Here is a 25,984-nt window from a genome sequence, read left to right on the forward strand (position 1 = left end):
ATATGATTTCAACTACAGGGCATTCTGGAAAAGGCAAAACTATGGAGATATGTAAAAAGGTCAGTGGTTGCCAGGGGATGAGGCGGGGAAGGGATGAATAGATGGAGAACAGAGGATTTTTAGGGCAGTGAAACTACTCTGTTTGATGGTACAATGGTGGATCCATGTCATTATACATTTGTCCAAACCCATAGAATGTCCAACACCGGGAGCGAACCCTAACACAAAGAATGGTTTTTGGGTGATTAAAGAAATAAAGATGCATATGTCATAAATAAAATAAGGGATAATGTATAAACTTGGTGGGTGCTATGGTTTAAATGTGGTGTTTTCTCCAAAATTTATATTGAAACTTAATCCTCATTGTGGTGGTATTAAAAGGTGGGGCCTTTAGGAGGTGATTAGGGGATGAGGGCTCCACCTTCATGAATGGATTAATACCCCTATAAAAGAGACTTCAGACAGAGTCCAGCCCTCTTATGCCATCCATCCCATCTGCCATGTGAGGATACAGTGTTCCTCCCCTCCAAACGATGTAGCAACAAGGCACCATCCTGGAGGCAGAGTGCAGCCCTCTCGACACCAAGCCTGCTGACGTCTGGATTGTGGACTTCCCAGCCCCCAGAACTGTGAGCAATGAACTTCTGTTGTTTATAAATGGCTCAGTCTGAGGTACTTTGTTGCAGCAGCACAAATGGATGCAGACACAGGGCTTCTCCCCAGCACATTACCCATCTCTAGACAATGTCTGGGAATGGGCTTTTATTATTTACTTGGAACTAAGTCATTCTCAGCCTGTTCCAATGTTTTAAAGGTAAATTTCTTATACTGTATCTGGTTTTGGAGGAAAAGGATTACCAAATTTCTAAGAAGAAAACTGAAAGTAAAATATACCAAATAGCATCAAAGAAATACATTTCAAAATTATAGAAGATATAGAGAGAAAGGAATAATTTTTACTCCACATGTAGACTGCCCCAAGGGTGTCATGTGTAATTAACTCTGCCTCCCTATTTCCTAGAACTGTGCCCACTGAATTTAATGACTCAACAACAGGGTTTCCACAGCTTGCCTTGAGAAAGACTCTTCCACAGTTTATCAGTGCTCAGTGTTAGGAAACCTTCTTCAGTGTTCAGCCTAACTGATCTTCTGTACAATTTCAGTCCACTTCCCAGACTTCATCTTTAAAGCTCCCAGTCTCCTTGTGGTTGGTATTCTCTGAATACTCGCAGTGAATATCATGATCGGCCTGCAATCCCACATCTAGTCATTATTTGGTCAAAGTCTATGTTTTATTTTCAATCTTTTCCTGCAAGCCAATTTTTTTTTTTTTAAATCTTCTGGTGTTTCTGCTTCCATTCTCTATATTTCCTCTAATTAGTTCGAAATCAGGTAGATTTTAAAATGTCTGGCTTGGGGACATCTTGTCTGTTGGGGACATGATTGGACTGAGACTGAAAGGAAACAGCTTTGCTTTTGACAGGGGAGATTTTTCTTCCACTAGGGTCTTGATTTATGGCTTTCCTCAGGAATCAGAAGACACCAGTGTCTCCTGGGCTTTTATTCTCTAAACATTTCAAATGCATTGATTTTGGAAGGAAAACAAGTTATGTGTAAATGTTTTGTGCTCTCCTCTATGAATGACAATACATCTGGGGAATATCAGATAACAAAGCACTGTAGTCAGAGTTTAACAGGCTCTAGGGCACAGGTAGCCCTGTTTCTGCTGCTTACTTGAGGCAAGAATTTAATTGTGTTCAGTTATCTTGTTTGGAAAAAGTTTTTAAAGATTAAAGAAAATAATGCGAAGTTCTTAACATGTGCCTGATACACAGCAAAAATGCCGCCATCTTTAGCTATTATGATACATATATTTCTGTTCTCTTGTAATCATATTTGTTTTTCCATCTGCAACCAGGATGTTTCTGTGACTTCCCTTGCTAGAATAACACACAAAAAACCATGTGTTCCATTATTAACTTCTACTGACTATGAAGCACATGTTCTTGCAATGAGAACAAGAGGGCTGGTGTGGGAAAGCTTAAAGACAAGACACGTTCAAGAACACCTTTCAACTAAATCTGACCATGGCATTGCACCATGGGCCAAATAACAATTCCAGGATGAGCACTCGCTTGCTTTAAAGTATCAAGGGCATATTTTAATGTATTTCCATTTGTTTATCCATCCATTCATTCAGTGGGCATTAAACACCTACCTTATTCAAGGGAAAGAGGATAAAAAACTGTGCAGTCTCAAAGCTCCTTTCACAGCACATGCTCACAGGCAGGGAGAAGGCAGCATGGCAGGAGAGCAGAAACTGTCTGTGGTTGGGCTACACCAGCTGTAGGGACACCTTCTCAGAGGATGGGGCAACCATGGACATCAAAGCCAGTGTTAAGAGAGGGAGAAAGAAGAGACCTGTGTCCTGGACTAGAAGGTGTGTAACCACTGGCCACGTAAAGGAGGAAGAGTAGCTGAAGACTGGGAGCAGCCTGCATGAAAACAAGGAGCTCTGTGGTGAGGATGTGGTGGCATCTGTGGTTAGGATGCGGTGGGCTCTGTGGGTAAAATGTGGGATCTGGTTAAGATGCGATGGGCTCTGGGTTAGGATACGGTGGGTTCTGTGTTTAGGATGAGGTGGGCTCTGTGGTTAGGTTAGAATACGGTGGGCTATGGTTAGGATGCAGAGGGCTCGGTGGTTAGGGTGAGGTCGGCTCTGTGGTTAGGATGTGGTTAGGATGCCGCGGTCTCTGGTTAGGATGCAGTTGACTCTGGTTAGGATGCAGTGGATTCCGTGGTTAGAATGCAGTGGGCTCTGTGGTTAGGACATGGTGGGCTCTGTGGTTAGGATGTGGTGGGCTCTGTGGTTAGGATGTGGAGGGCTCTGTGTGGTTACTGGTGTAGAACTCCAGTGCCTGTGAGGCAGTAGTAGTTTCTGGAGGGCCTCCTGTTGTATGGGTGACATCACCAGAACCGTCTACCTTCTTCCCAGGTACTCCTGAGTGGAGATGATGGGTAGAAGCCTTGCTCACCATGTTGTCTTCACCAGAACTGGGAGAATTGCTCTCTGCATAAAAGATGTCAAGCAAGTTTTGGCCATTCTTTCTTATACTTGTGTGATCAGAGGAATCTTTTGGTCACTGTTGAAATCACAGATGTGGCTCCAGTCTCCTACAAATCGAGAACCCCAAAACTATTGAATGAGCATCTCCTTGTGAGGTTCCTGAAAATCTGTTTTTAGGCAATGTTTTCAGGTTATTCTTATGGTCAGGTGAATTTGGGGAGCAGAAGTATGTGAAAAAAAGCAGATGCAGAATATTCACTTTTTCACCTGGCTGTGTGATGTCATTGGATGCAGTTTGGGAATAGGTGCTCTTCACTGAGGCAGATTCTTTGGTTTGGCAATTTGAAAGAGAAACCATTGAATCAAGGGGCAGTTTCTCTTGAGCGTTGCACACATATGGTGCTCAATAGATTGTAGGCATCTACAAAGAAAACCCACTCTGTGGGCATCCACAGATGCCATGGTCCCCATTTGCTGTACCTGAGCTTCAAAGAATGGTGGGCAACTGATTAGTGAATCCCAAATGCTGACTCTGTCCAACTGTGTGAACACGCTGTGAAAGCCAGGGTTTCTCAGCCTCAGCACTTAGTTGTCAGGATAAGCACAGTAATCACATACTCATTAATTTCCTTATAAAATGCTCCCAGAGGACATGCCACCCTCACTTTCAGGTGCTGAGACTGCCAGTCATGCCGGGGCTCAGCCCCAGTGAGGGAGCAAGCGGGGCCAATGCTCTGAGCTCCTCATGGGGCCAAAACATGAGGGAGTGCTTGGATCCAGGAATGTCAGAAATGAATAACTCTGCTGTTTTAACACTCATTCTTTTTCCTTCCAAAATGGCTGGGGCTTGCTTTGTCAACACAGATTCACATGTTGCTCTGACAGGAAATGAGGCAATCACTGGCCCTGGGTGCCACGTCACGTAGCTTGTCCTCGTCAGTGCAGCTGACGCTCACCAAGCCTTCTGTGCCAGGCACATGTGAGCGCTGGGTCTACACACTAATCAAACATGCTGCTCACTCCACATAACATACAACACGACAAAGGCATTGAGAGAGCCCAGAAACCATGCCAGGCTGACGCTGGCTGCTGTCCACCTGTGATGGCCTCGGGCACTGTGGCCCCCACTACAACCCAAAGAGGGTCAGGCCATGGACAGGGATGTGACCAGATGTCAGCTGGTCAACGCTCTTTGCTGTTCCCCATCAGGGAATGGAACTTCTCCAAACCTGATGGGCTGTCGGTGAGGTTAGAGGTAAGAGGGAGGAAACTGAGGAGATGCCAGTGACCTTTCTGTGGGCCTTGGGCAGGGAGCTGGCTGCATGGTTCGCTAGACAGTGTGACCTCATGAGAGTGGAGGGGATCCCTCCCAAACAGGTCACACGTGTGTCTGTGACTCATGGTGGGTCAAACACACTATAGCCCCATCAGCGGGCAGGACAAGTTGGGCCCTGACACAGGCAGCATCCAGGCAGGCAAGCACATTGACAACCACATGTCAGCCCTGGGAGCTAACGGTGTTTACATGACAGTGGCACATCTGGCACATTCTCCTACTGAATTAACTTGACTTTTCCAAAGTATACTTGCGGGGCATGAGAATGGACAGGCAGATGCAGCAGTATTTGCTGCTGCACAGACCTCTCCACACTCGTCCCAGCACAGTGCTCAACTTGGAGTATTGCCCAGTATTACAGCTCAGTAACGAAGAGGGACTTGAAGCTCCAGGAGATGTGAGCAGGCACTGTGGATGCCTGCACCAGTGTTGGTTTTTGAACATCCAGCTCCAAGCTGTCCTCCCTCACTGGCTCTGCTGTGGAGACTGAGATGCAAAACTCTCCCTTTCCAACTCTCCCCGCTACTTCCTGCACAGCTGAGTGGCCAGCAGCAAAATCCTGACCAAAAGAAGTCTGTGGGATGGAACATGTCCTCCTCCTGCCCTGATGGGGTCTGGGAGCATGACCTGCAGCAGCGGGTGGGATGAGGAGAGGTCAGGGGGCCACACACCCTGAAACCACAGGGGCCTGAATGGCGCCTGCCACCACTGTCTGGCATGTGGGCCACTGTTGGTTACTGAGACAATAAAAAGGTGCGTGTTTGCAACACTGCTAATCAGCTATCTCACTTCCTGCAGCCAGTGGCATTCTGAGTGCATAAAACCTCAAAATACATAGAATTTGGGGTAGGATACCACATATATCAAAAGATGGGGCCAGGCGAGCTTATGAGAAGGTTATTAGTTACGATCCTCAACATCAACACTGCAAGGGTTTCACTGGATATAAATATGGTAATTACACATTTAGTAAATATATTTAATGCCCTGTTCCTACCCCCAAGAAAGAGGTAGAATGACAACAAACGCTTTGCAATTAATAGATTGAAAAGTCTATTAAAAGTCTATTTATCTCCTCATTTGCATTGGGCTGAGCAAGCTCTTCACCCCATATCAAAGGAACAAATAGGAAACACCTGGTATGATCGATGAACGGTCTCTTCTCCTACCGAGGATGGCTGACAAGGTCTCCTCACTGGCACTAAAACCAGAAATAATGAGAGCATGAAGCCCGCGCTCATAAATAATTCATGGACTAAATATTGTAAGTGACAGTGCTTTCTTCATTTTTAAGCAACCACTTGGTATGCTTTTGTTCTGTTTTTAAGAAGATCATATTTGAATCAGCTCAGAGGCGAGCTGTGTTCAGGCCCTGTGAGCTCCACGCCCTCTCTGCTGACCTCTAATACTTTCTATTCTTTTCTTGACTGAGGTGTGAGTTCCCCTGGGCTCAAATCTGGCTGGTTAGTTAGAGCACCCATTCTTGGGTAATGACCCAACCACACAGGGAGGCACTGACCTAAGTTGGGGAGGCCGCCCTGAACCCACTGTCGATTGTAGCTTCATACTCTCCTCCCCTTCTCTGCCCTCCACTGAGCTTGTCATGGACTGGCTCCTCCCTGAGCCACCTGTTGCCAGGATGGCCCCAAAGCTGAGACTGCTTTCCTCCATCGGGAGCTCCTCCTCAGCCCGAGACCCCACTTCCCTTCCTCTTCAGGGTCAGCACTCAGGGATCAGATGCCCATCCCCTCTCTAACCTGGGAGCCTGCCTCCATGCACACCTCTTCCTGTCATCAGTGTGATGAAGCTGCTGCAGGGGCTGGGTCCAGAGCGCTGTGCATGAGGACTTCAAAAGTCCAACGGAGCAGCAGAAGGAGACACAGACACACTGTGCAGTGAGGGTGTGTGGGAAAGAGAGGTGCGGAGAGAGGAAAGTTTGGTTATAACAGCATAGGGCAGGAAGCCAGGAGACCCTGTGTTTCTTGGTGTGAATTACCCCCAGGTTCCAACGTGGATGTGTCTGGAACAGCACCAAAGGTTCCTCCAGTGTTTCCGCAGGGAAGTCCTTTCAATATCACCTAATGCAGATGGACACATCTTGAAAATTTAAATATGGGGTCTACTGGGGAAGCAGGGAGTGTAAACCATGACCCCAGGTGCACACATTTGAAAGTCCACACTTACTTCAGAGGGTTACAGCTTCACTCAGTTTCACATTTGTTCACTAATTAGCCTGAATCCTTTAGAATATCTTTATTATATCTCCATCCACACAGTGGGGACCCTGTCAACGATGATTAACTCCTGCTCACAGATAATGCACAGTCATTTCCTGAAGCTTCTTTCTTCCTTCTCCTTCCCTTTCCTAGCTCTCTCTTTTTCTCTTTCTCTCTCCCTCCCTCCCTAACTCTTTTTCTTTCTTGCCCTCTTTCTTAAGTGTGCTTAACCATAGCATGGTTAAGGTAAATATAAGAATATTTTAGCTTGTTAGGAAGAAACTGCATCAACTAATGAGCAAAATAACCAGCTAACATCATAATGACAGGATCAAATTCACACATAACAATACTAACCTTAAATGTAAATGGGCTAAATGCTCCAATTAAAAGGCACAGACTGGCAAATTGGAAAAAGAGTCAAGACCCATCAGTGTGCTGTATTCAGGAAACCCATCTCAGCTGCAGAGACACACATAGGCTCAAAGGGATGGAGGAAGATCTACCAAGCAAATGGCAAACAAAGGCAGGGGTTGCAATCCTAGTCTCTAATAAAACAGTCTTTAAACCAACAAAGATCAAAAGAGACAAAGAAGGCCATTACATAATGGTAAAGGGATCAATTCAACAAGAAGAACTAACTATTCTAAATATATATGCATCCAATACAGGAGCACCCAGATTCATAAAGCAAATCCTTAGTGACCTACAAAGAGACTTAGACTCCCCACAATAATAATGGGAGACTTTAACACCCCACTGTCAACATTAGACAGATCAACGAGACATAAAGTTAACAAGGATATCCAGGAATTGAACTCAGCTCTGCACCAAGCAGACCTAATAGACATCTACAGAAGTCTCCACCCCAAATCAACAGAATATACATTGTTTTCAGCATCACACCACACCTATTCCAAAATTGACCACATAGTTGGAAGTAAAGCACTCCTCAGCAAATGTAAAAGAACAGAAATTATAACAAACTGTCTCTGAGACCACAGTGCAATCAAACTGGAACTCAGGATTAAGAAACTCAGTCAAAACTGCTCAACTACATGGAAACTGAACAACCTGCTCCTGAATGACTACTGGGTAAATAACGAAATGAAGGCAGAAATAAAGATGTTCTTTGAAACCAAGGAGAACAAAGACACAACATACCAGAATCTCTGGGACACATTCAAAGCAGTGTGTAGAGGGAAATTTATAGTGCTAAATGCCCACAAGAGAAAGCAGGAAAGATCTGAAATTGGCACCCTAACATCACAGTGAAAAGAACTAGACAAGCAAGAGCAAACACATTCAAAAGCTAGCAGAAGGCAAGAAATAACTAAGATCAGAGCAGAACTGAAGGAAATAGAGACACAAAAAACCTTCAAAAAATTAATGAATCCAGGAGCTGGTTTTTTGAAAAGATCAACAAAATTGATAGACCTCTAGCAAGACTAATAAAGAAGAAAAGAGAGAAGAATCAAATAGATGCAATAAAAAATGATAAAGGGGATATCACCACCAGTCCCACAGAAATACAAACTACCATTAGAGAATACTATAAACACTTCTACGCAAATAAACTAGAAAATCTAGAAGAAATGGATAAATTCCTCGACACATACACTCTCCCAAGACTAAACCAAGGAAGAAGTTGAATCTCTGAATAGACCAATAACAGGCTGTGAAATTGAGGCAATAATTAATAGCTTACCAACCAAAAAAAGTCCAGGACCAGATGGATTCACAGCCGAATTCTACCAGAGGTACAAGGAGGAACTGGTACCATTCCTTCTGAAACTATTCCAATCAATAGAAAAAGAGGGACTCCTCCCTAACTCATTTTAGGAGGCCAGCATCATCCTGATACCAAAGCCTGGCAGAGACACAACAAAAAAAGAGAATTTTAGACCAATATCCTTGATGAGCATTGATGCAAAAATCCTCAATAAAATATGGGCAAACCGAATCCAGCAACACATCAAAAAGCTCATCCACCATGATCAAGTGGGCTTCATCCCTGGGATGCAAGGCTGGTTCAACATACGAAAATCAATAAATGTAATCCAGCATATAAACAGAACCAAAGGCAAAAACCACATGATTATCTCAATAGATGCAGAAAAGGCCTTTGACAAAATTAAACAACCCTTCATGCTAAAAAAACCTCAATAAATTAGTTATTGATGGGACGTATCTGAAAATAATAAGAGCTATCTATGACAAACCCACAGCCAATATCATACTGAATGGACAAAAACTGGAAGCATTCCCTTTGAAAACTGGCACAAGACAGGGATGCCCTCTCTCACCACTCCTATTCAACATAGTGTTGGAAGTTTTGGCCAGGGCAATCAGGCAGGAGAAGGAAATAAAGGGCATTCAGTTAGGAAAAGAGGAAGTCAAATTGTCCCTGTTTGCAGACGACATGATTGTATATCTAGAAAACCCCATTGTCTCAGCCCAAAATCTCCTTAAGCTGATAAGCAACTTCAGCAAAGTCTCAGGATATAAAATCAATGTACAAAAATCACAAGCATTCTTATACACCAATAACAGACGAACAGAGAGCCAAATCATGAGTGAACTCCCATTCACAATTGCTTCAAAGACAATAAAATACCTAGGAATCCAACTTATAAGGGATGTGAAGGACCTCTTCAAGGAGAAATACAAACCACTGATCAAGGAAATAAAAGAGGATACAAACAAATGGAAGAACATTCCATGCTCATGGGTAGGAAGAATCAATATTGTGAAAATGGCCATACTGCCCAAGGTAATTTACAGATTCAATGCCATCCCCATCAAGCTACCAATGACTTTCTTCACAGAATTGGAAAAAACTACTTTAAAGTTCATATGGAACCAAAAAAGAGCCCGCATCACCAAGTCAATCCTAAGCCAAAAGAACAAAGCTGGAGGCATCACACTACCTGACTTCAAACTATATTACAAGGCTACAGTAACCAAAACAGCATGGTACTGGTACCAAAACAGAGATATAGATCAATGGAACAGAACAGAGCCCTCAGAAATAACGCCGCATATCTACAACTATCTGATCTTTGACAAACCTGAGAAAAACAAGCAATGGGGAAAGGATTCCCTATTTAATAAATGGTGCTGGGAAAACTGGCTAGCCATATGTAGAAAGCTGAAACTGGATCCCTTCCTTACACCTTATACAAAAATCAATTCAAGATGGATTAAAGACTTAAACGTTAGACCTAAAACCATAAAAACCCTAGAAGAAAACCTGGGCATCACCATTCAGGACATAGGCATGGGCAAGGACTTCATGTCCAAAACACCAACAGCAATGGCAACAAAAGACAAAATTGACAAATGGGATCTAATTAAACTAAAGAGCTTCTGCACAGCAAAAGAAACTACCATCAGAGTGAACAGGCAACCTACAAAATGGGAGAAAATTTTCGCAACCTACTCATCTGACAAAGGGCTAATACCCAGAATCTACAATGAACTCAAACAAATTTACAAGAAAAAAACAACCCCATAAAAAAGTGGGCAAAGGACATGAACAGACACTTCTCAAAAGAAGACATTTATGCAGCCAAAAGACACATGAAAAAATGCTCATTATCACTGGCCATCAGAGAAATGCAAATCAAAACCACAATGAGATACCATCTCACACCAGGCAATCATTAAAAAGTCAGGAAACAACAGGTGCTGGAGAGGATGTGGAGAAATAGGAACACTTTTACACTGTTGGTGGGACTGTCAACTAGTTCAACCATTGTGGAAGTCAGTGTGGCGATTCCTCAGGGATCTAGAACTAGAAATACCATTTGACCCAGCCATTCCATTACTGGGTATATACCCAAAGGACTATAAATCTTGCTGCTATAAAGACACATGCACACGTATGTTTATTGTGGCATTATTCACAATAGCAAAGACTTGGAACCAAGCCAAATGTCCAACAATGATAGACTGGATTAAGAAAATGTGGCACATATACACCATGGAATACTATGCAGCCATAAAAAATGATGAGTTCATGTCCTTTGTAGGGACATGGATGAAATTGGAAATCATCATTCTCAGTAAACTATCGCAAGAACAAACAACCAAACACCGCATATTCTCACTCATAGGTGGGAATTGAACAATGAGATCCCATGGACACAGGAAGGGGAATATCACACTCTGGGGACTGTGGTGGGGTGGGGGGAGGGGGGAGGGATAGCATTGGGAGATATACCTAATGCTAGATGACGAGTTAGTGGGTGCAGTACACCAGCATGGCACATGTATGCATATGTAACTAACCTGCACAATGTGCACATGTACCCTAAAACTTAAAGTATAATAATAATAATAATAATAATAATAATAATAAAAGAAACCACCATCAGAGTGAACAGGCAGCCTACAGAATGGGAGAAAATTTTTGCAACCCACTCATGTGACAAAGGGCTAATATCCAGAATCTACAATGAACTCAAACAAATTTACAAGAAAAATCAAACAACCCCATGAAAAAGTGGGCGAAGGTATGAACAGACACTTCTCAAAAGAAGACATTTATGCAGCCAAAAAACACACAAAAAAATGCTCATCATCACTGGCTATCAGAGAAATACAAATCAAAACCACAGATACCATCTCACACCAGTTAGAATGGTGATCATTAAAAAGTCAGGAAACAACAGGTGCTGGAGAGGATGTGGAGAAATAGGAACACTTTTACCCTGTTGGTGGGACTGTAAACTAGTTCAACCATTGTGGAAGTCAGTGTGGCGATTCCTCAGGGATCTAGAACTAGAAATACCATTTGACCCAGTCATCCCATTACTGGGTATATACCCAAAGGATTATAAATCATGCTGCTGTAAAGACATATGCACACATATGTTTATTTTGGCACTATTCACAATAGCAAAGACTTGGAACCAAGCCATATGTCCAACAATGATAGACTGGTTTAAGAAAATGTGGCACATGTACACCATGGAATACTATGCAGCCATAAAAAATGATAAGTCTATGTCCTTTGTAGGGACATGGATGAAACTGGAAACCATCATTCTCAGCAAACTATCACAAGGACAAAAAACCAAACACTGCATGTTCTCACTCATAGGTGGGAATTGAACAATGAGATCACATGGACACAGGAAGGGGAACATCACACACCGGGGCCTGTTGTGGGGTGGGGGGAGGGGGGAGGGATAGCATTAGGAGATATACCTAATGCTAAATGATGAGTTACTGGGTGCAGCACACCAACATGGCACATGTATACATATGTAACAAACCTGCACGTTGTGCACATGTACCCTAAAACTTAAAGTATAATAATAGTAATAATAAAGAATATTTTAGCTTGTTGAATAATAGGAGAATGTGGCTTTACACACCCCAAACATTGCCTGGCATGCAGGTAAACACTGGATGCTAGTGTCCTTTATTTTTTCACCAACAAAGTTAGTGTTATGCTTCCAGTAAAAAAAGACTCATAGTCAAAGAGACCAGAATAAAATGAGTTTAGTTGTGTTGCTTTGAGATATAATATGGCGTTGGATTTTCTTTTCCTGGTGAAGCCTTTTGGACAATTAGATTGAAGATAGAATTGAATGCTCAGTTATGAGTTAATAATCAGAAAAGTGAAGAAGTGTTTGAACAGCTTTGATTGGAGTACTAGACCTTGAGAGTGTAGCAAAAATATTTATTTTCTCCTCCATTTCTCATGTATTTCCATCTACCCATTTCCTTACTTGGGATAAATGAAGGCATTTGGTGAGGATTTAACTCACGGCCAGGGCTGCCAGTCCTCTCCTTAGTTAATTCAGCCTTGAGGGTTTTCATCCGCACCCTGTGAATTATTCCAGGCTAAACTATTTAAATGAGCCAGGCTAAACTATTTAAATGTTCGGGTGGAACAAATGTCCAGTCATTGATTTTCTTTTCCTCTCCATTTTGAGGAGGGATGTTTAGTAGAAATGTGTCAGCATTCACACTACGCAAGGGTCAGCACCGGTTTAGTGAAATCTGTCCTGCATTTTATAGTTTAAACCTAACAGTTTAAACCAAAGATTTAAAATCAATTGCCCATCAGCGCTCCTTATTGTACTCAGCCGTCGGCCTCCGTGAATCTTAATGTGCCTGAACAGACCCACAGAGACACAGCATCAGCTTCACATTTCTCGGTATCCACTTAGTAATCATTAAGATCAATTCCTTGAAATACAGATGATAATTCACCATCTTTCATCGCAGCATGAGGTTTCTGTTTAGGGATTTTTGTCCAGTTCATTTGTTTCAGCTTATCTTCCTCATGCCCGACTGGATGCAAATAAAAAGACCTTGCTTTTAATTTTAAGATCAAAGTGACTGCCAGTCATTCAGGGGAGACAACGGAAGGAAAGGTTTTGAAAAATTGGGGGAATAAACTCCTTATACTCCGCTTCTCTTAGGTCCTTGTGAAGATGAACTTACACAGATGCTCTTTGTATGATGGAAAGAGAAGTTTTAACTGTATTTAAACTGTCATGGTTTCTAAAGTGCAAATGGGAAAATCATGTTTGATAACCAGCTTTATCTGGTACAACACAATAACACAATTCTTTATTCAAGCCGAAAGCGTGGCACAGACAGTACGGACACATTTCTTTACCTTATGTGCTCATTTTAGGTTCAAAGCCAAGCATATGCAGCAAAACATAGTCTACATTTCAAAACTTGGAAAACTTATGCTCCATCGTGGAATTAATTGGCACTTTTGTATTTTTCCTAATAAGAGAGGCCGGACCACTTCCCTCAGAAGGGTTTCCTAGTTGTCCTGGGCTGTTTTTACAAAGTTGAACTCTACCAGGCTGTTTTCAAGAAATGTGCATTTTTCCAGGGCAGTTGTAAGTCAGTCCAAGAAAATTGTGGAGCGATAAAGCTGGACCTTAGTTTAAATGGGAAAGAATATTTATAAAAGCCATATTTTCAGAATATGTTTTGTAGGCTAGACTAGCAAAAATTTAAACATGACCCCCTAATGTACTCTAGAAAACTCCTTTTTTCTAGTTATTAATAAACTCGAAAAATAATTTCCCATAAAGAGGTAATGCATGGTCACCACCGGGCCTTGATGCCTGCTTCCAAAAGGAACCTGGAACTGGGAAGGATAAAGGACCATCAGCTCTACATTTCAGCTCTGCCCCGCCCTCAGGGCATCAGGAAAGCCACTTGGCCTCTTCATCTTCGTGTCTGCATTTCCTGAAGTGTTAATAAGAATTCCTGCCTTCCCCACTTATCGGGGTTATGTCAATCAAACTGATTAGTGTATGTAAAAATGCTGTCAAAATTATAAATCTGCATATTAAATGCAAGGCATCACCATCAACAGCCCCTTTAAGAATCATTCGCTCATGAAACACAAGAGTTTCTAAATAAAGCGGTGCCCTGACAGTTTGGCTAGTAAGTATTGTAGGGGTTCAAGAGGATGGGGGAGAACATTTGCTTCTCTTTTTCCAGTGAAACGAGAGGATTCGGGAGGGAACAACGCTGAACTACTGTGTGATGGAGAGAAGGGGTGAGTGGGACCCATGCCCTCCCAGAAGACGCCCTGAGCGGGGGCCCAGGCTCTCCCGGAAGACGGCCTGAGTCAGGTCCACGCTCTCCCGGAAGACGGCCTGAGAGGGGGGCCCAGGCTCTCCCGGAAGACGGCCTGAGCCAGGTCCACGCTCTCCCGGAAGACGGCCTGAGAGGGGGGCCCAGGCTCTCCCGGAAGACGGCCTGAGCCAGGTCCACGCTCCCCCGGAAGACGGCCTGAGAGGGGGGCCCAGGCTCTCCCGGAAGACGGCCTGAGCCAGGTCCACGCTCCCCCGGAAGACGGCCTGAGAGGGGGGCCCAGGGTCCCCCGGAAGACGGCCTGAGCCAGGTCCACGCTCCCCCGGAAGACGGCCTGAGAGGGGGGCCCAGGGTCCCCCGGAAGACGGCCTGAGCCAGGTCCACGCTCCCCCGGAAGACGGCCTGAGAGGGGGGCCCAGACTCTCCCGGAAGACGGCCTGAGTCAGGTCCACGCTCCCCCGGAAGACGGCCTGAGAGGGGGGCCCAGGGTCCCCCGGAAGACGGCCTGAGCCAGGTCCACGCTCCCCCGGAAGACGGCCTGAGAGGGGGCCCAGGCTCTCCCGGAAGACGGCCTGAGCCAGGTCCACGCTCTCCCGGAAGACACGGTCCACGCCCTCTGAGAAGATGGCGTGTGGGTCGGCGCCGAGAAGGAGTGGTGAGAATGAGAACAAAGCTTCCCAGTGGAAGAGAGAGCAGCTGTCTTCGAGGTCAGGCCTGGGAGGGCCCAGCCTCGTGCCTGTAGGTCCGGTGCAACAGCGCATGTGCTCCTGGCATAGGGCTCACTGGATTATTTTAAGTAAATGGCTGTGGTAGTTGGCCAAGCATCCTGCTCTCTGGGGAGAATGCCTGAGGGTGGAAGCATTTGTTCAGCATGAAAGATGGAGTCCCACCCTACAGGGAGGAAAGGACCGCCTGAGAAGGGTCCAGGGCCGGCTGGGACCCCACCTCATTGGCGCTGTGGTGGGGGGTGGGGGGGGGGCCGTGCCCACAAATCCTAAGGAGACCTGAGCTGATGGAAATGGGCCCTGGGCCGCCTTCCCATCTGGGCGGGAGCCTGTGGGAGAAGGACCAGCCGGCCACCACCGCAGAAGACACCAGGCCAACGCCTACAATACCAGTCTAACGTCTCGTTCACAAGTGTGTGTATTCAGACGAGAGCCATCAGCAGGACACGGGAGAAAGACCACGCGAAACAGAAAGCCACTGCCCCTGGCCTGGAGGACACGGGCCAGGGCGTCTCCTCAGAGGAGTTGAGCAGAAGTTACAGCTACAGAACAAGAGGCTCCCTTGAAAAAGGAAGAATGGAGGATAAGGGAAAGATTTAAATAATGAAAATAGGTTGCAAAAATTAGGAGGGAAAGGCAGTTTATGAGCTGTAGGATAAATTTAAGAAATCTCCAAAAACATCGAGTAAAAGAATGAAGAGACAAATTTTAAAAGTAAAAGCAGAAAATTAATAGAGTGTTGCAAATTTAACAAAAATGCGTGTAAATGAAGGAATTCATAAAACAAATGACATAAAACTATACAAATAGCTTAAATATGTCAAGAGAAGTGAATGGCTCACACCTAAACATATTCTTAAATCCAAGTTAAAAAAAAAAAAAAAACCTTTCCCCCTCCCGGGTAGGTGTGGGTGCTGGTCACTGCAGAGAAAATGTGAGGCAGGTCAGAAATATTGGATAAAAGATAATGGAAACATTACTTCAAAATACTGAGGGAAAATAATTGAAAGCTTAGAATTCCCCCCTGGGAATCTATTGAGACGGATGACAAGCAAATCAAGGAATTTTGAGATGTGGGAATATTCACAAAGTTGATCTCCCATCGTTTTAGATGATGCTTCTTGAGGAAGCTCTCTATGAGGGGAGACAAAGCAAGGAGGAAGACAATGATTCCGGAGATGGTGTCCCACTGGAAGAGCAGGACGCCGGGTCTGCAGAGCACGTGCCTCGATGGGCCTGGCCTGGGAGTTCTCTGGGAGAGAGGCAGGTACCCTCTGTGAGATGCTTCCATAGAAGCCTCGTGACTTAGCACGTATGGTAAAGGCACAATCTTCCTCTTTCTTTTTTTTCAATAAGAGAAAAAAGAAGACATTCCAGAAAAAAACACGCACAATATTTCAAAAGCGATATAAGCAAGTCTAGCAACACAAGTGAATCAAACTTAAACACAACACAACTTGGAGCTGGGGGTGGAGGCGGAGCCTCTGCGTGTCCTGACGCCAGGCAGCCAGGCTCCCTTCCCAGCGGAACTGTGCTGGGAGGGTTGAAGGTGGTTCTGCTTGGCTCTGTAGTGGGAATATCTGCAACACTCTCATCAGATAGATGCTGTTCAGCTGTTACAATCACTCAAAAGACAAAGTAGAGAAGACTTAATTATGGGCATAAGAAAGGATATAAATACCAGTGATGATGGTGTAAAGATGTAACACGTATAATTGAGAGAGGCTGGCTAGTGGGGAAGGGGCTGAGGGCTGCCACCCTCAACGCACAGAACAGGGAGTGAAACCACACCCAAATTTGATGCAATAAGAAATAAAGGTTTATCTATAATTGCACATTACAAACATAATAATGGAAAATGAAAAAAGTATCAAATGTTAATAGCATGAGTCAATAGATGTTATCTAGAACTGAAAATCTAGAAATATAGAAGTATGTAGTACTTAGAATCACAAGAAAAAAATTTGAAATGGTTAGAGGTGGCTTCTGAGAGTGAAGGGGAGTGAGGGGTGGAGTGGGAGAATACGGCTTTTCATTCAGAAGTTCTTTAGAATCTTTACCATATGACTGCATTAATTTGATAAAAATAAAAACTTCTGTTCATAAGTATATATTTCTGTGATTATATTTCTCATAATGGCTAAGAAATGGTCTCTGATTCATAAACAGAACTTTCAGGAGCTAATAAATGTGAATGAGTTGGCATCCCATCCACAGGAGGGGCAAATCAAATTGTGTTTTATTTCAAAATAAGTTTAATTTTAAAACATTGTGACATATACAGCAACTAGAACAAGACATATTACTCTGAGAATTTCTTAGGTATTTGCTTGAATAACTGAACTAGAATTAAGATCAAATGGCACATCAACTTTAAGTAAATGAGTATCTAAAAATGTTTGTATTAGTAATTTTGCACATTTCTAATTTTTTAAAATCAGTGTTTGTCTCTTTACAATAGGAAAGTAAATTTAAGCAAGTTATTCTTCAGCATTCAGAAGTCACTAATTAGTGAAGCTCTACCTTATGAAGTCTCATTTTCATGTAGTAAATTTAATTCATATAGATAAATTGCCTACACATAAAGCATTGTATTCACTGGCAACTTAGAAGTATCATTTCCCCACAAGCCTCTAAAACATTACTATTTTCCACATGAAGTTTGACAGTAGCTTCCAAAACTTGCCAGATTTGTTTCCCAGAAAGATGGAAAGATATTGAGTTCCAGCGCTGAGAAATGCTACAAACTTACTTTCCAGGTCATACTGACTTATGCCTCTGGGGCTGGAAGTGCATTGCACAATAAGGAAGCCAGGGTGGCTGGTGCCCCTCCCCTCCCCTTTCTACTCCCTCCCCCTACCCTTCCTCCTTTCCTTTTCATACCAAGACACTAATTTAACCTGAGTTATTCAGAAATCTGTAGCAGAAATCTGTGTAACACTCCACATTTTAAAATTTACCAAAGTTTTGTTTATATGGACCAGCAACCCTGTGTGTATGTAATTCTTTTATAGTTCTTTTATATTGGATTTAAATTGTTCTGTATGAACCATTCCCCACTAGAATATAAGAGCCACAAGGGTAGGCATTTGGTCTCTTGTTCTGCTGATTCCCCAGAACTTTGTATGCCAGGCACTGACTAAATAATTTGTAAATAGTGCCATTACCAATAATTAACTAACACTTACATGGTACTTGCCATGGGCTAGGTAACTTTCTAAGAGCTGGAAATACATGAACACATTTAGCCTTCAAAATAACCTGATCAGGTAGGTGTTGCTGTTATCCCCATTTTAAAGGTGAGAGAACAGAGTCCCAGCGAGGCTCAGTGGCTGGTCATGGGTCGCAGAGCTCTGTGCAGGTGGGGCTGGATTCTGTGCTAGGATGATGCTCTTGGCCTGCCAAACTCACTGCTCCCTCAGTGAGACTGCTGTACCCTGAGTGGGGGCTGTGTCTCTTCCTCACAGCCCCGTGGGCCTACAGAGCAGTGCCCAGTGTATGGCGGTGCCCAATTGATGGCTGCATGCTGGAGGATGAAGGAATGGTCACCTCCAGCAGGGATGAGCTTGGTGGAGGTGAACTCTTAGCCCTCAATTTAGAACATTCCTAATTCCACAAAGAGGCAGGTGTCATCTGTGTCTGAAAGGGGGCCAGTTGCTGGTGGCCAGGGTGGGGCTGGTATATTTATATACTGGATGATGTGTTTATAAAGCAACTTTACCTTTCAAAGAATCTCATATTCTAGATCTTACCCAGCTACATTGTAAGAAAGCAGCTTCATTTTCATTTTACCAGGAGGCCCACATTGGGAAGATCACACAGCCAAGACATGGTGCTGGGTTCCAGTGTTCCCACACCCAGCAAGATTGGAGAGGACCCTGCTGGCCCAGCGTGGCTGAGAACCATGCCAGTCATTTGGTCCTTTATTTTGTAACATAAATATGTTTGTATGTCAGCTCGATGGTCTTTTTCCGCCTTAGATTTTGCCGGCACATGCAGAGCAAGTGTGTGTGTGAAACTTAATCCAAAGGTCAGTTACTATTTCACAGTAATGACTCCCAAGTGTGTGAGAGTGTAGTGAGTGTGACGAGGAGGTCATTACACACTCGTGAAAAACTCTGGAAATGGAAATGGTTGAATTCAAATAACCAGCTGGCTTGTTATTAATGGGTTGGTGGCTCGTTGTTTCCACAGGGCCGATTGATCAAATTTAGCCCTCATTCATCTTCCCCCATCCTGGCTGACTGGAGAGGACGCCTTCTTGGCTCTCAGCATGCCCCTCGCGGCTGGGTCACCCTTGTTTCTCAGAGTGGAATTCCCTCCCTGAGTTTGAGATGGGGAATCTTGGCAGAAAGGAGAGCGTTCGGGGTGGGTTACACCCCAACCAGAGGAACTTAGGACTCTCAGGAGACGTGGGTCCTCCGGAAGGGGCTGGCCAGGCCCCCCAGAGACGGGGGATGCCCAAGCAGAGCTGGGCCCCGGCAGCCTAATCACAGCACCATGGTCAGGATGGCTTTTCCTGCTAATATGCTCTGGCCACTGATCTCTGTATATGCTATAATATTTTGTCTTTCTTTGTCACAGCCTGTTGTGGAAGAGAGAGCCTTTTGGCCTCCAAGATCAGGTAGATGCTAATGCTCCTTTCTTTAGAGATGAAAATGCCCACAGGAAAAGAGGAGGTGGCTACCTTTGGTCATGACGATTCCTGCCAGCGCTTTATGGCGGGCGTGCATGGGCGTGAGGTCCGTCGTCACCTCGCGGAACTTCTGTGTGACCAGCTGGGATATGGAGTCTGCGAATTCCTGAAAGACACAAGCACAGGCCTCCACGTTGGGCTGAGCAGGTGCCGTGGAGGATGATGGGGCACTGTCCTCCCCGTCCTCACAGCCTCATCCCCATGTGGCCACACATGGGCCTGCTCTCCTCCCCTCCTCACAGCCTTGTCACCACGTGACCACACACGGCCTCTCCCTGGCTGTGCCCCCAAAACTCAGAATCATATTGAGTGGCTTATGAGTGGTTAACCCCAGCATTGCTCTCAGCAGAAACCCTGAGCTCTGCCAACCTCCCCATGGAAACAGTGTCTACTTCCTCTCCCTGCCTCTCAGAGCAGTGACTGGAGGAGTCTTTCGGCGGGGAGGGAATTTTTATAGGGATGATGGGCCACCGCAGTCTTCTGAGTATTCCAGAGCCAGTGTCTACACAGCCAGCAGTCTCAGGGTGCTCTTCTGGCAAAATGGCTGGCGCTGTGGCTCTCTCCACAACTTCTTCTCACCTTCCTGCACATGCACACAGATGCACACATTCACATGCAACACACAACACACCTAGGGCACACGTGCACACACGAATATGCACACACATGCACACACACAGACACACACATACACATACACGTGTGCCCCTGCACACCCCTTAACATAATCTGATTAGTGATAAGGTGACTCCTGGTCTCTGGGAAGACAGCACACACAGTGTGGCTCTGTGGCCGCCCTTTCCCCGGCTCCTCTGGGCCCAAGGCTGCAGCACTGCCCTTTCCTTGACATGGGGCCCCAAGCTTTTCTTCGGGGGCAGTTTGGCTGGCATAGCCGTTGCAGGCCTTGGAGTAGGGAAGCCTGGTTGGACCCTCAGTTCTGCCACTCAGGAGCCTGGGTGAGTCGTTAACTCCTCGGAGCCCATTTTCCTAATTTACAAGTGAATCATCTTCATTTCCACCTTATGGTGTTTTCGTAAGGATTAAATGCAATACGGTGTCTTAAGTGCTCAGCACAGTGCCCCACACTTGGTAGGAAGTGCTCAGAGATGACGGCTGTGACTATTACTCTTATTATTTTCATCATTATCATCATCTCCCCCAGTCACCACAGGCATTGCCTGAGCCTCTGAGCAGCCAAATCAATTCATCATCTCATCCAGGAGGCAGGAAACAGTCCCTTTTCCTGGTGGACTGGGCTTCCCCATTACCACCAGGCATGTGTTGATGTTGATACTGTGCAGCATTGGGCCTGGTTTCCACATTTCCACCGGGCGTGTGTGGACGCTGATGCTGCGCAGGCATTGCTGCTGATAAGGACAGCTCTCTGATTAATAACGCTAAGAAAGATAGACAGTTTTTAAAAATCCCACTTGTAGGCAATAAAACATGTTTGTGTGAAAACAGCCCTGCCTGCCAGAAGCAAAAAACATGCCACAAAACAACCTAGCACCTCTCCCTCTTAATTCTTCTGCAGTCAAGGGCAGAAGTGCAGGGCCCGGCGCAGTCTCCTCTGCTCACCCCGGGGTTTGAGGGCCTCAAGCCGCTGTAGCCTGTAAATGATGTCAGCTACTTTTCCCACTGTGTCGTGAATCAATATGGAAGCCCCACATAGGACAGATTGCAGATGAAAGGCACCCCGACCTTTCAGGGACTGCTGTGAGCCTGGAGTCTTCCTGGGTGCTCCCAGTCCAGGCTGCTCCCAGCTGTCCTGTCTTTCGTGTCTGGAATCAGGTCCAGAGAGGGAAACCTGTGTCCTGGACACCCCGTGTGCTGTGTCCTGGGGCTGCTGGAAAAATACCCTTAACTGGGGGTCTTTAAACAACAGGGATTCATCCCCCCGAAGCTCTGGAGGCAGAGATCTGAGACTGAGGTGTCCAGGGGCGGTGCTGCCTCCTGAGGCTCTGGGGAGCCTTCCTGCCTCTCCTGGCTCCAGGCCTCCGGGCGTCCCTGGGTGGTGGCCGCATCACTGCAGTCTCCGCCTCTATCCCCACGTGGCCTTCTCCTCTGTGTCTGTGTCTGCTCTTCTGCCTCTTGTAGGGACAATTGTCATTGAATTTAGGGCCCACTTGGGCAATCCAGGATGAGGCCATCTCAAAGTCCTTAACTTGAGGATATCTGCAGAGAACGTTTTCTCAGTCACCGTCATGGGGTTGGACGTGTCTTTCTGGGGCTGTTCAACCTGCTGCACCCTCGTTTACTCTTTCAATGCATGCTGTCAAGGGAGAGCGTGATTCTTAATTTTTTTATTTTTCTTTGAGACAGGGTTTCTCTCTGCTGCCCACGCTGGAGTGCAGTGGCACTATCACGGCTCACTGCAACCTTGAATTTTTGGGCTCAAATGATCCTCTCACCTCAGCCTCCCAAAGCGCTAGGATTACAGGCTCCAGCCACTGGGCCAGGCCCCTGTGATAACCTGGTCTTCCTTGGTGCCCAAATCACACACAGTTGCCATGAACGACGTCCACAAGGTGGGTGGCAGGCGGGAGCCTTCGTGATGGTCCTTGGTTCTCCCCTAGAAGGCTGGCTGCCCACATCTAAAGGTCAGGCCTGGCTGTGAGGTTGTCCGGCCCCGCCTGTGCCCCCCACGACCTTGCACGCTGAGAGCTCTGAGCTGGGGTGGAGAAGAAGATGCAGGGGGACAGAGGCCCACAGAGTCCTGGAGCCCCAACAGGCCTCAGCTATCACCTCAGGCCTCGAGAAGTCAGCTTCTCAGCACCATGACAGACGGTGAAGGTGACATAAGCAGCCCCACCACAGGCTCCTGCAGGGCGTGTGCTGCAAGCCCCATCCTGCCAGGACCTCCCGCATCTCCCAGGGAAAGCATCCGGGCACAGGGTTGATGGGGCAGCCCTGGCTCTGGGACCGGGTGACGGGTGGGACCTCTGCCAGGCCCGGGGCTCGTGGGTTGCCAGCAGGTCTGGGAGGTGGGGAGGCTTGTGCTGGGCCTTGACTTGCAGTGCTCATCCTCACCGGCCCTGCAGAGGGGACAGGGCACTGAAGGGCTTCCCACTGGGAAGAGGGTCTAGAAAGCCTTGTCCAAAGCTGATGTCTGAGATAAACCTTGAAGGATGAGTAGGAGAGCTTCCCTTTCTCAGGTGACAGAATGCAGACTGCTCTCCCGCCGGTCCGCCCCACGGCACATGGGCAGGCGAGGGCAGCACCGATCAGCATTGCTGCACAGGCGTCCTGGACTCCAGCCACGGGGACACTTCCCCAGCTCAGGCAGTGGCCATGGCAGCCTGGGGGCCACATCTGTCCCACGGGGTTCACTGTCGTTGCCAGCTCTGGTATCCGATTCTGGGTGATTCATGGGTGTTAATGTTGATTCAAGGACAAAACTACATCTTTTGCTTCTAAAACAGCTTTTCTGGTGCCAGGCATCTGATTCCAGCACACGCTGTGCTCCAGAGTTATTCCCAATGACGTGTGTAGCTCTTTGTTTTTTTTTTAGGATGAAGTTTCAAATGTCTAAGAAGTGATAGCTTGTCCAGCACAGGAGGCCTCTCTGTGTCACTTTGTGTCTGCTTGAGAGGCTCCAGCACAGGACATCAGGATGGTCTCAGACCACTGAGTCATAACAGTGCATGCAAACACAGATTTCACTGTGGAAACCTAGGGAGTGCTCTGTCCCCTTAGAGATGGGAAGACACACAAACAGTGACAACAGGGACTCATTCTGAGCAGGCGCGGTACCTGCCCAGGAAGGTGCCAATATTATCCTTTTTAGCTATTGAAGCAACGCAACCAGTCATACAGCAGGGGGTGGCAGAGACGGGACGTACCCCAGCTGCCTTGACCTTGACCCTTGCACTGAACTGGTGACCAGATTGCTCTGAGGAAAAGCAGGATCTGAACTCAAGGATGGCTGCAGGCTTCACTGCCTCTGGGTGCAGGCTGGAGCAGCTGCGGCCGGGACACGGGTGAAGGCGGCTGGCACCCCAAGAAGGCAGTGGCCCTTGGAGGGGGGCCCGTGGTGGAGCCTGGCCACCCACTCTCCGCACCCTGCAGGCCTGTACCCCTGCCCTAGGCTCCCACTATGAACCAAGCAGCGTGAGCCCTGGCCGCTCCCTTGTGGGGTCATTTGAGGAACAGCTGGGGTGGAATGAATCACATTTGGTTTGGGCCTCAGCATTTCCACAGATGAAGGCCTCCTTGACTCACTGGGGAGGGCTTGCATGGCCAGCAGATGCCAGGTGGAGAGTGATGCTCAGCTTTCTTCTAGAGTGACAAGGGCCCCTGGCTGGTAGAGATGGCCTTGAACTGACAGAGCAGAATGGAGATATTGCTGGCCGGACAGTTCCACCCACCCCAGCTGGAGGAGGTGGGAGGTGCAGCTGACAGCCAGGAGGCCATGGCACCCAGGTGTGCACATTCAGTCCTGCAGGGCGGCTCCAGGCAGCAGCCATGGCGCCCTCAAGGGCAGGGCACTTCCTCTCCCCAGGTCCACACATTCCCGACTCCACAGCCAGTCTTTCTTTCTTTCCTTCTTTTCTTTTTTTTTAATTTAAGTTTTAGGGTACATGTGCACAATGTGCAGGTTAGTTACATATGTATACATGTGCCATGTTGGTGTGCTGCACACATCAACTCATCATTTAACATTAGGTATATCTCCTAATGCTATCCCTCCCCCCTCCCCCCACCCCACAACAGGCCCCGGTTGTGATGTTCCCCTTCCTGTGTCCATGTGTTCTCATTGTTCAGTTCCCACCTATGAGTGAGAACATGCAGTGTTTGGTCTTTTGACTTTGCAATAGTTTGCTGAGAATGATGGTTTCCAGCTTCAACCATGTCCCTACAAAGGACACGAACTCATCATTTTTTATGGCTGCATAGTATTCCATGGTGTATATGTGCCACATTTTCTTAATCCAGTCTATCATTGTTGGACATTTGGCTTGGTTCCAAGTCTTCGCTATTGTGAATAGTGCCGCAATAAACATACGTGTGCATGTGTCTTTATAGCAGCATGATTTATAATCCTTTGGGTATATACCTGGTAATGGGATGGCTAGGTCAAATGGTATTTCTAGTTCTAGATCCCTGAGGAATCGCCACACTGACTTCCACAATGGTTGAACTAGTTTACAGTCCCACCAACAGTGTAAAAGTGTTCCTATTTCTCCACATCCTCTCCAGCACCTGTTGTTTCCTGACTTTTTAATGATCACCATTCTAACTGGTGTGAGATGGTGTCTCATTGTGGCTTTGATTTGCATTTCTCTGATAGCCAGTGATGATGAGCATTTTTTCATGTGTCTTTTGGCTGCATAAATGTCTTCTTTTGAGAAGTGTCTGTTCATATCCTTCGCCCACTTTTTGATGGGGCTGTTTGTTTTTTTTCTTGTAGATTTGTTTGAGTTCATTGTAGATTCTGGATATTAGTCCTTTGTCAGATGAGTAGATTGCAAAAATTTTCTTCCATTTTGTAGTTTGCCTGTTCACTCTGATGGTAGTTTCTTTTGCTGTGCAGAAGCTCTTTAGTTTAATTAGATCCCATTTGTCAATTTTGGCTTTCGTTGCTTTAGACATGAAGTCCTTGCCCATATTCACCCAATACAGGAGCACCCAGATTCATAAAGCAAGTCCTTAGAGACCTACGAAAAGACTTAGACTCCCAAACAATAATAACGGGAGACTTTAACACCCCACTGTCAACATTAGACAGATCAACGAGACATAAAGTTAACAAGGATATCCAGGAATTGAACTCAGCTCTGCACCAAGCAGACCTAATAGACATCTACAGAACTCTCCACCCCAAATCAAGAGAATATACATTCTTCTCAGCACCACACCGCACTTATTCCAAAATTGACCACTTAGTTGGAAGTAAAGCACTCCTCAGCAAATGTAAAAGAACAGAAGTTATAACAAACTGTCTTTCAGACCACAGTGCAATCAAACTGGAACTCAGGATTAAGAAACTCACTCAAAACTGCTCAACTACATGGAAACTGAACAACCTGCTCCTGAATGACTACTGGGTACATAATGAAATGAAGGCAGAAATAAAGATGTTCTTTGAAACCAAGGAGAACAAAGACACAACATACCAGAATCTCTGGGACACATTCAAAGCAGTGTGTAGAGGGAAATTTATAGCACTAAATGCCCACAAGAGAAAGCAGGAAAGATCTGAAATTGACACCCTAACATCACAATGAAAAGAACTAGAGACACAAGAGCAAACACATTCAAAAGCTAGCAGAAGGCAAGAAATAACTAAGATCAGAGCAGAACTGAAGGAAATAGAGACACAAAAAACCCTTCAAAAAATTAATGAATCCTGGAGCTGGT

General features: G+C 45.9%; 1 protein-coding gene across 1 annotated transcript in view, besides 6 other annotated features; it reads right to left on the bottom strand.

Annotated features, from left to right (window-relative positions):
- ADARB2 (adenosine deaminase RNA specific B2 (inactive)) overlaps window positions 1–25,984 on the bottom strand; it is a 560,213-nt gene that overhangs the window by 74,027 nt on the left and 460,202 nt on the right. The window contains exon 4 of the mRNA NM_018702.4: window positions 19,616–19,730. Coding sequence (NP_061172.1) covers window positions 19,616–19,730 — 115 coding nt within the window. The remainder of the gene's footprint in view (window positions 1–19,615; window positions 19,731–25,984) is intronic.
- Window positions 3,776–4,276: an enhancer, noted in NCBI's record as "H3K27ac hESC enhancer chr10:1297166-1297666 (GRCh37/hg19 assembly coordinates)". NCBI's record gives its function as "activates a minimal SCP1, AML or CMV promoter by ChIP-STARR-seq in primed H9 embryonic stem cells {active_cell/tissue: H9 hESC(primed)}" and the evidence as "EXISTENCE:reporter gene assay evidence [ECO:0000049][PMID:30033119]".
- Window positions 4,277–4,777: an enhancer, noted in NCBI's record as "H3K27ac hESC enhancer chr10:1297667-1298167 (GRCh37/hg19 assembly coordinates)". NCBI's record gives its function as "activates a minimal SCP1, AML or CMV promoter by ChIP-STARR-seq in naive H9 embryonic stem cells {active_cell/tissue: H9 hESC(naive)}" and the evidence as "EXISTENCE:reporter gene assay evidence [ECO:0000049][PMID:30033119]".
- Window positions 19,163–20,048: an enhancer, noted in NCBI's record as "H3K4me1 hESC enhancer chr10:1312697-1313582 (GRCh37/hg19 assembly coordinates)". NCBI's record gives its function as "activates a minimal SCP1, AML or CMV promoter by ChIP-STARR-seq in naive H9 embryonic stem cells {active_cell/tissue: H9 hESC(naive)}" and the evidence as "EXISTENCE:reporter gene assay evidence [ECO:0000049][PMID:30033119]".
- Window positions 20,049–20,933: an enhancer, noted in NCBI's record as "H3K4me1 hESC enhancer chr10:1313583-1314467 (GRCh37/hg19 assembly coordinates)". NCBI's record gives its function as "activates a minimal SCP1, AML or CMV promoter by ChIP-STARR-seq in naive H9 embryonic stem cells {active_cell/tissue: H9 hESC(naive)}" and the evidence as "EXISTENCE:reporter gene assay evidence [ECO:0000049][PMID:30033119]".
- Window positions 21,026–21,226: a silencer, noted in NCBI's record as "peak840 fragment used in MPRA reporter construct". NCBI's record gives its function as "represses an SCP1 promoter by STARR-seq MPRAs in K562 erythroleukemia cells {active_cell/tissue: K562}" and the evidence as "EXISTENCE:reporter gene assay evidence [ECO:0000049][PMID:32103011]".
- Window positions 21,555–22,055: an enhancer, noted in NCBI's record as "H3K4me1 hESC enhancer chr10:1315089-1315589 (GRCh37/hg19 assembly coordinates)". NCBI's record gives its function as "activates a minimal SCP1, AML or CMV promoter by ChIP-STARR-seq in naive H9 embryonic stem cells {active_cell/tissue: H9 hESC(naive)}" and the evidence as "EXISTENCE:reporter gene assay evidence [ECO:0000049][PMID:30033119]".

This window comes from Homo sapiens, chromosome 10, assembly GCF_000001405.40.
Source record: "Homo sapiens chromosome 10, GRCh38.p14 Primary Assembly".
In the NCBI taxonomy this organism is placed as follows: Eukaryota; Metazoa; Chordata; class Mammalia; order Primates; family Hominidae; genus Homo; species Homo sapiens.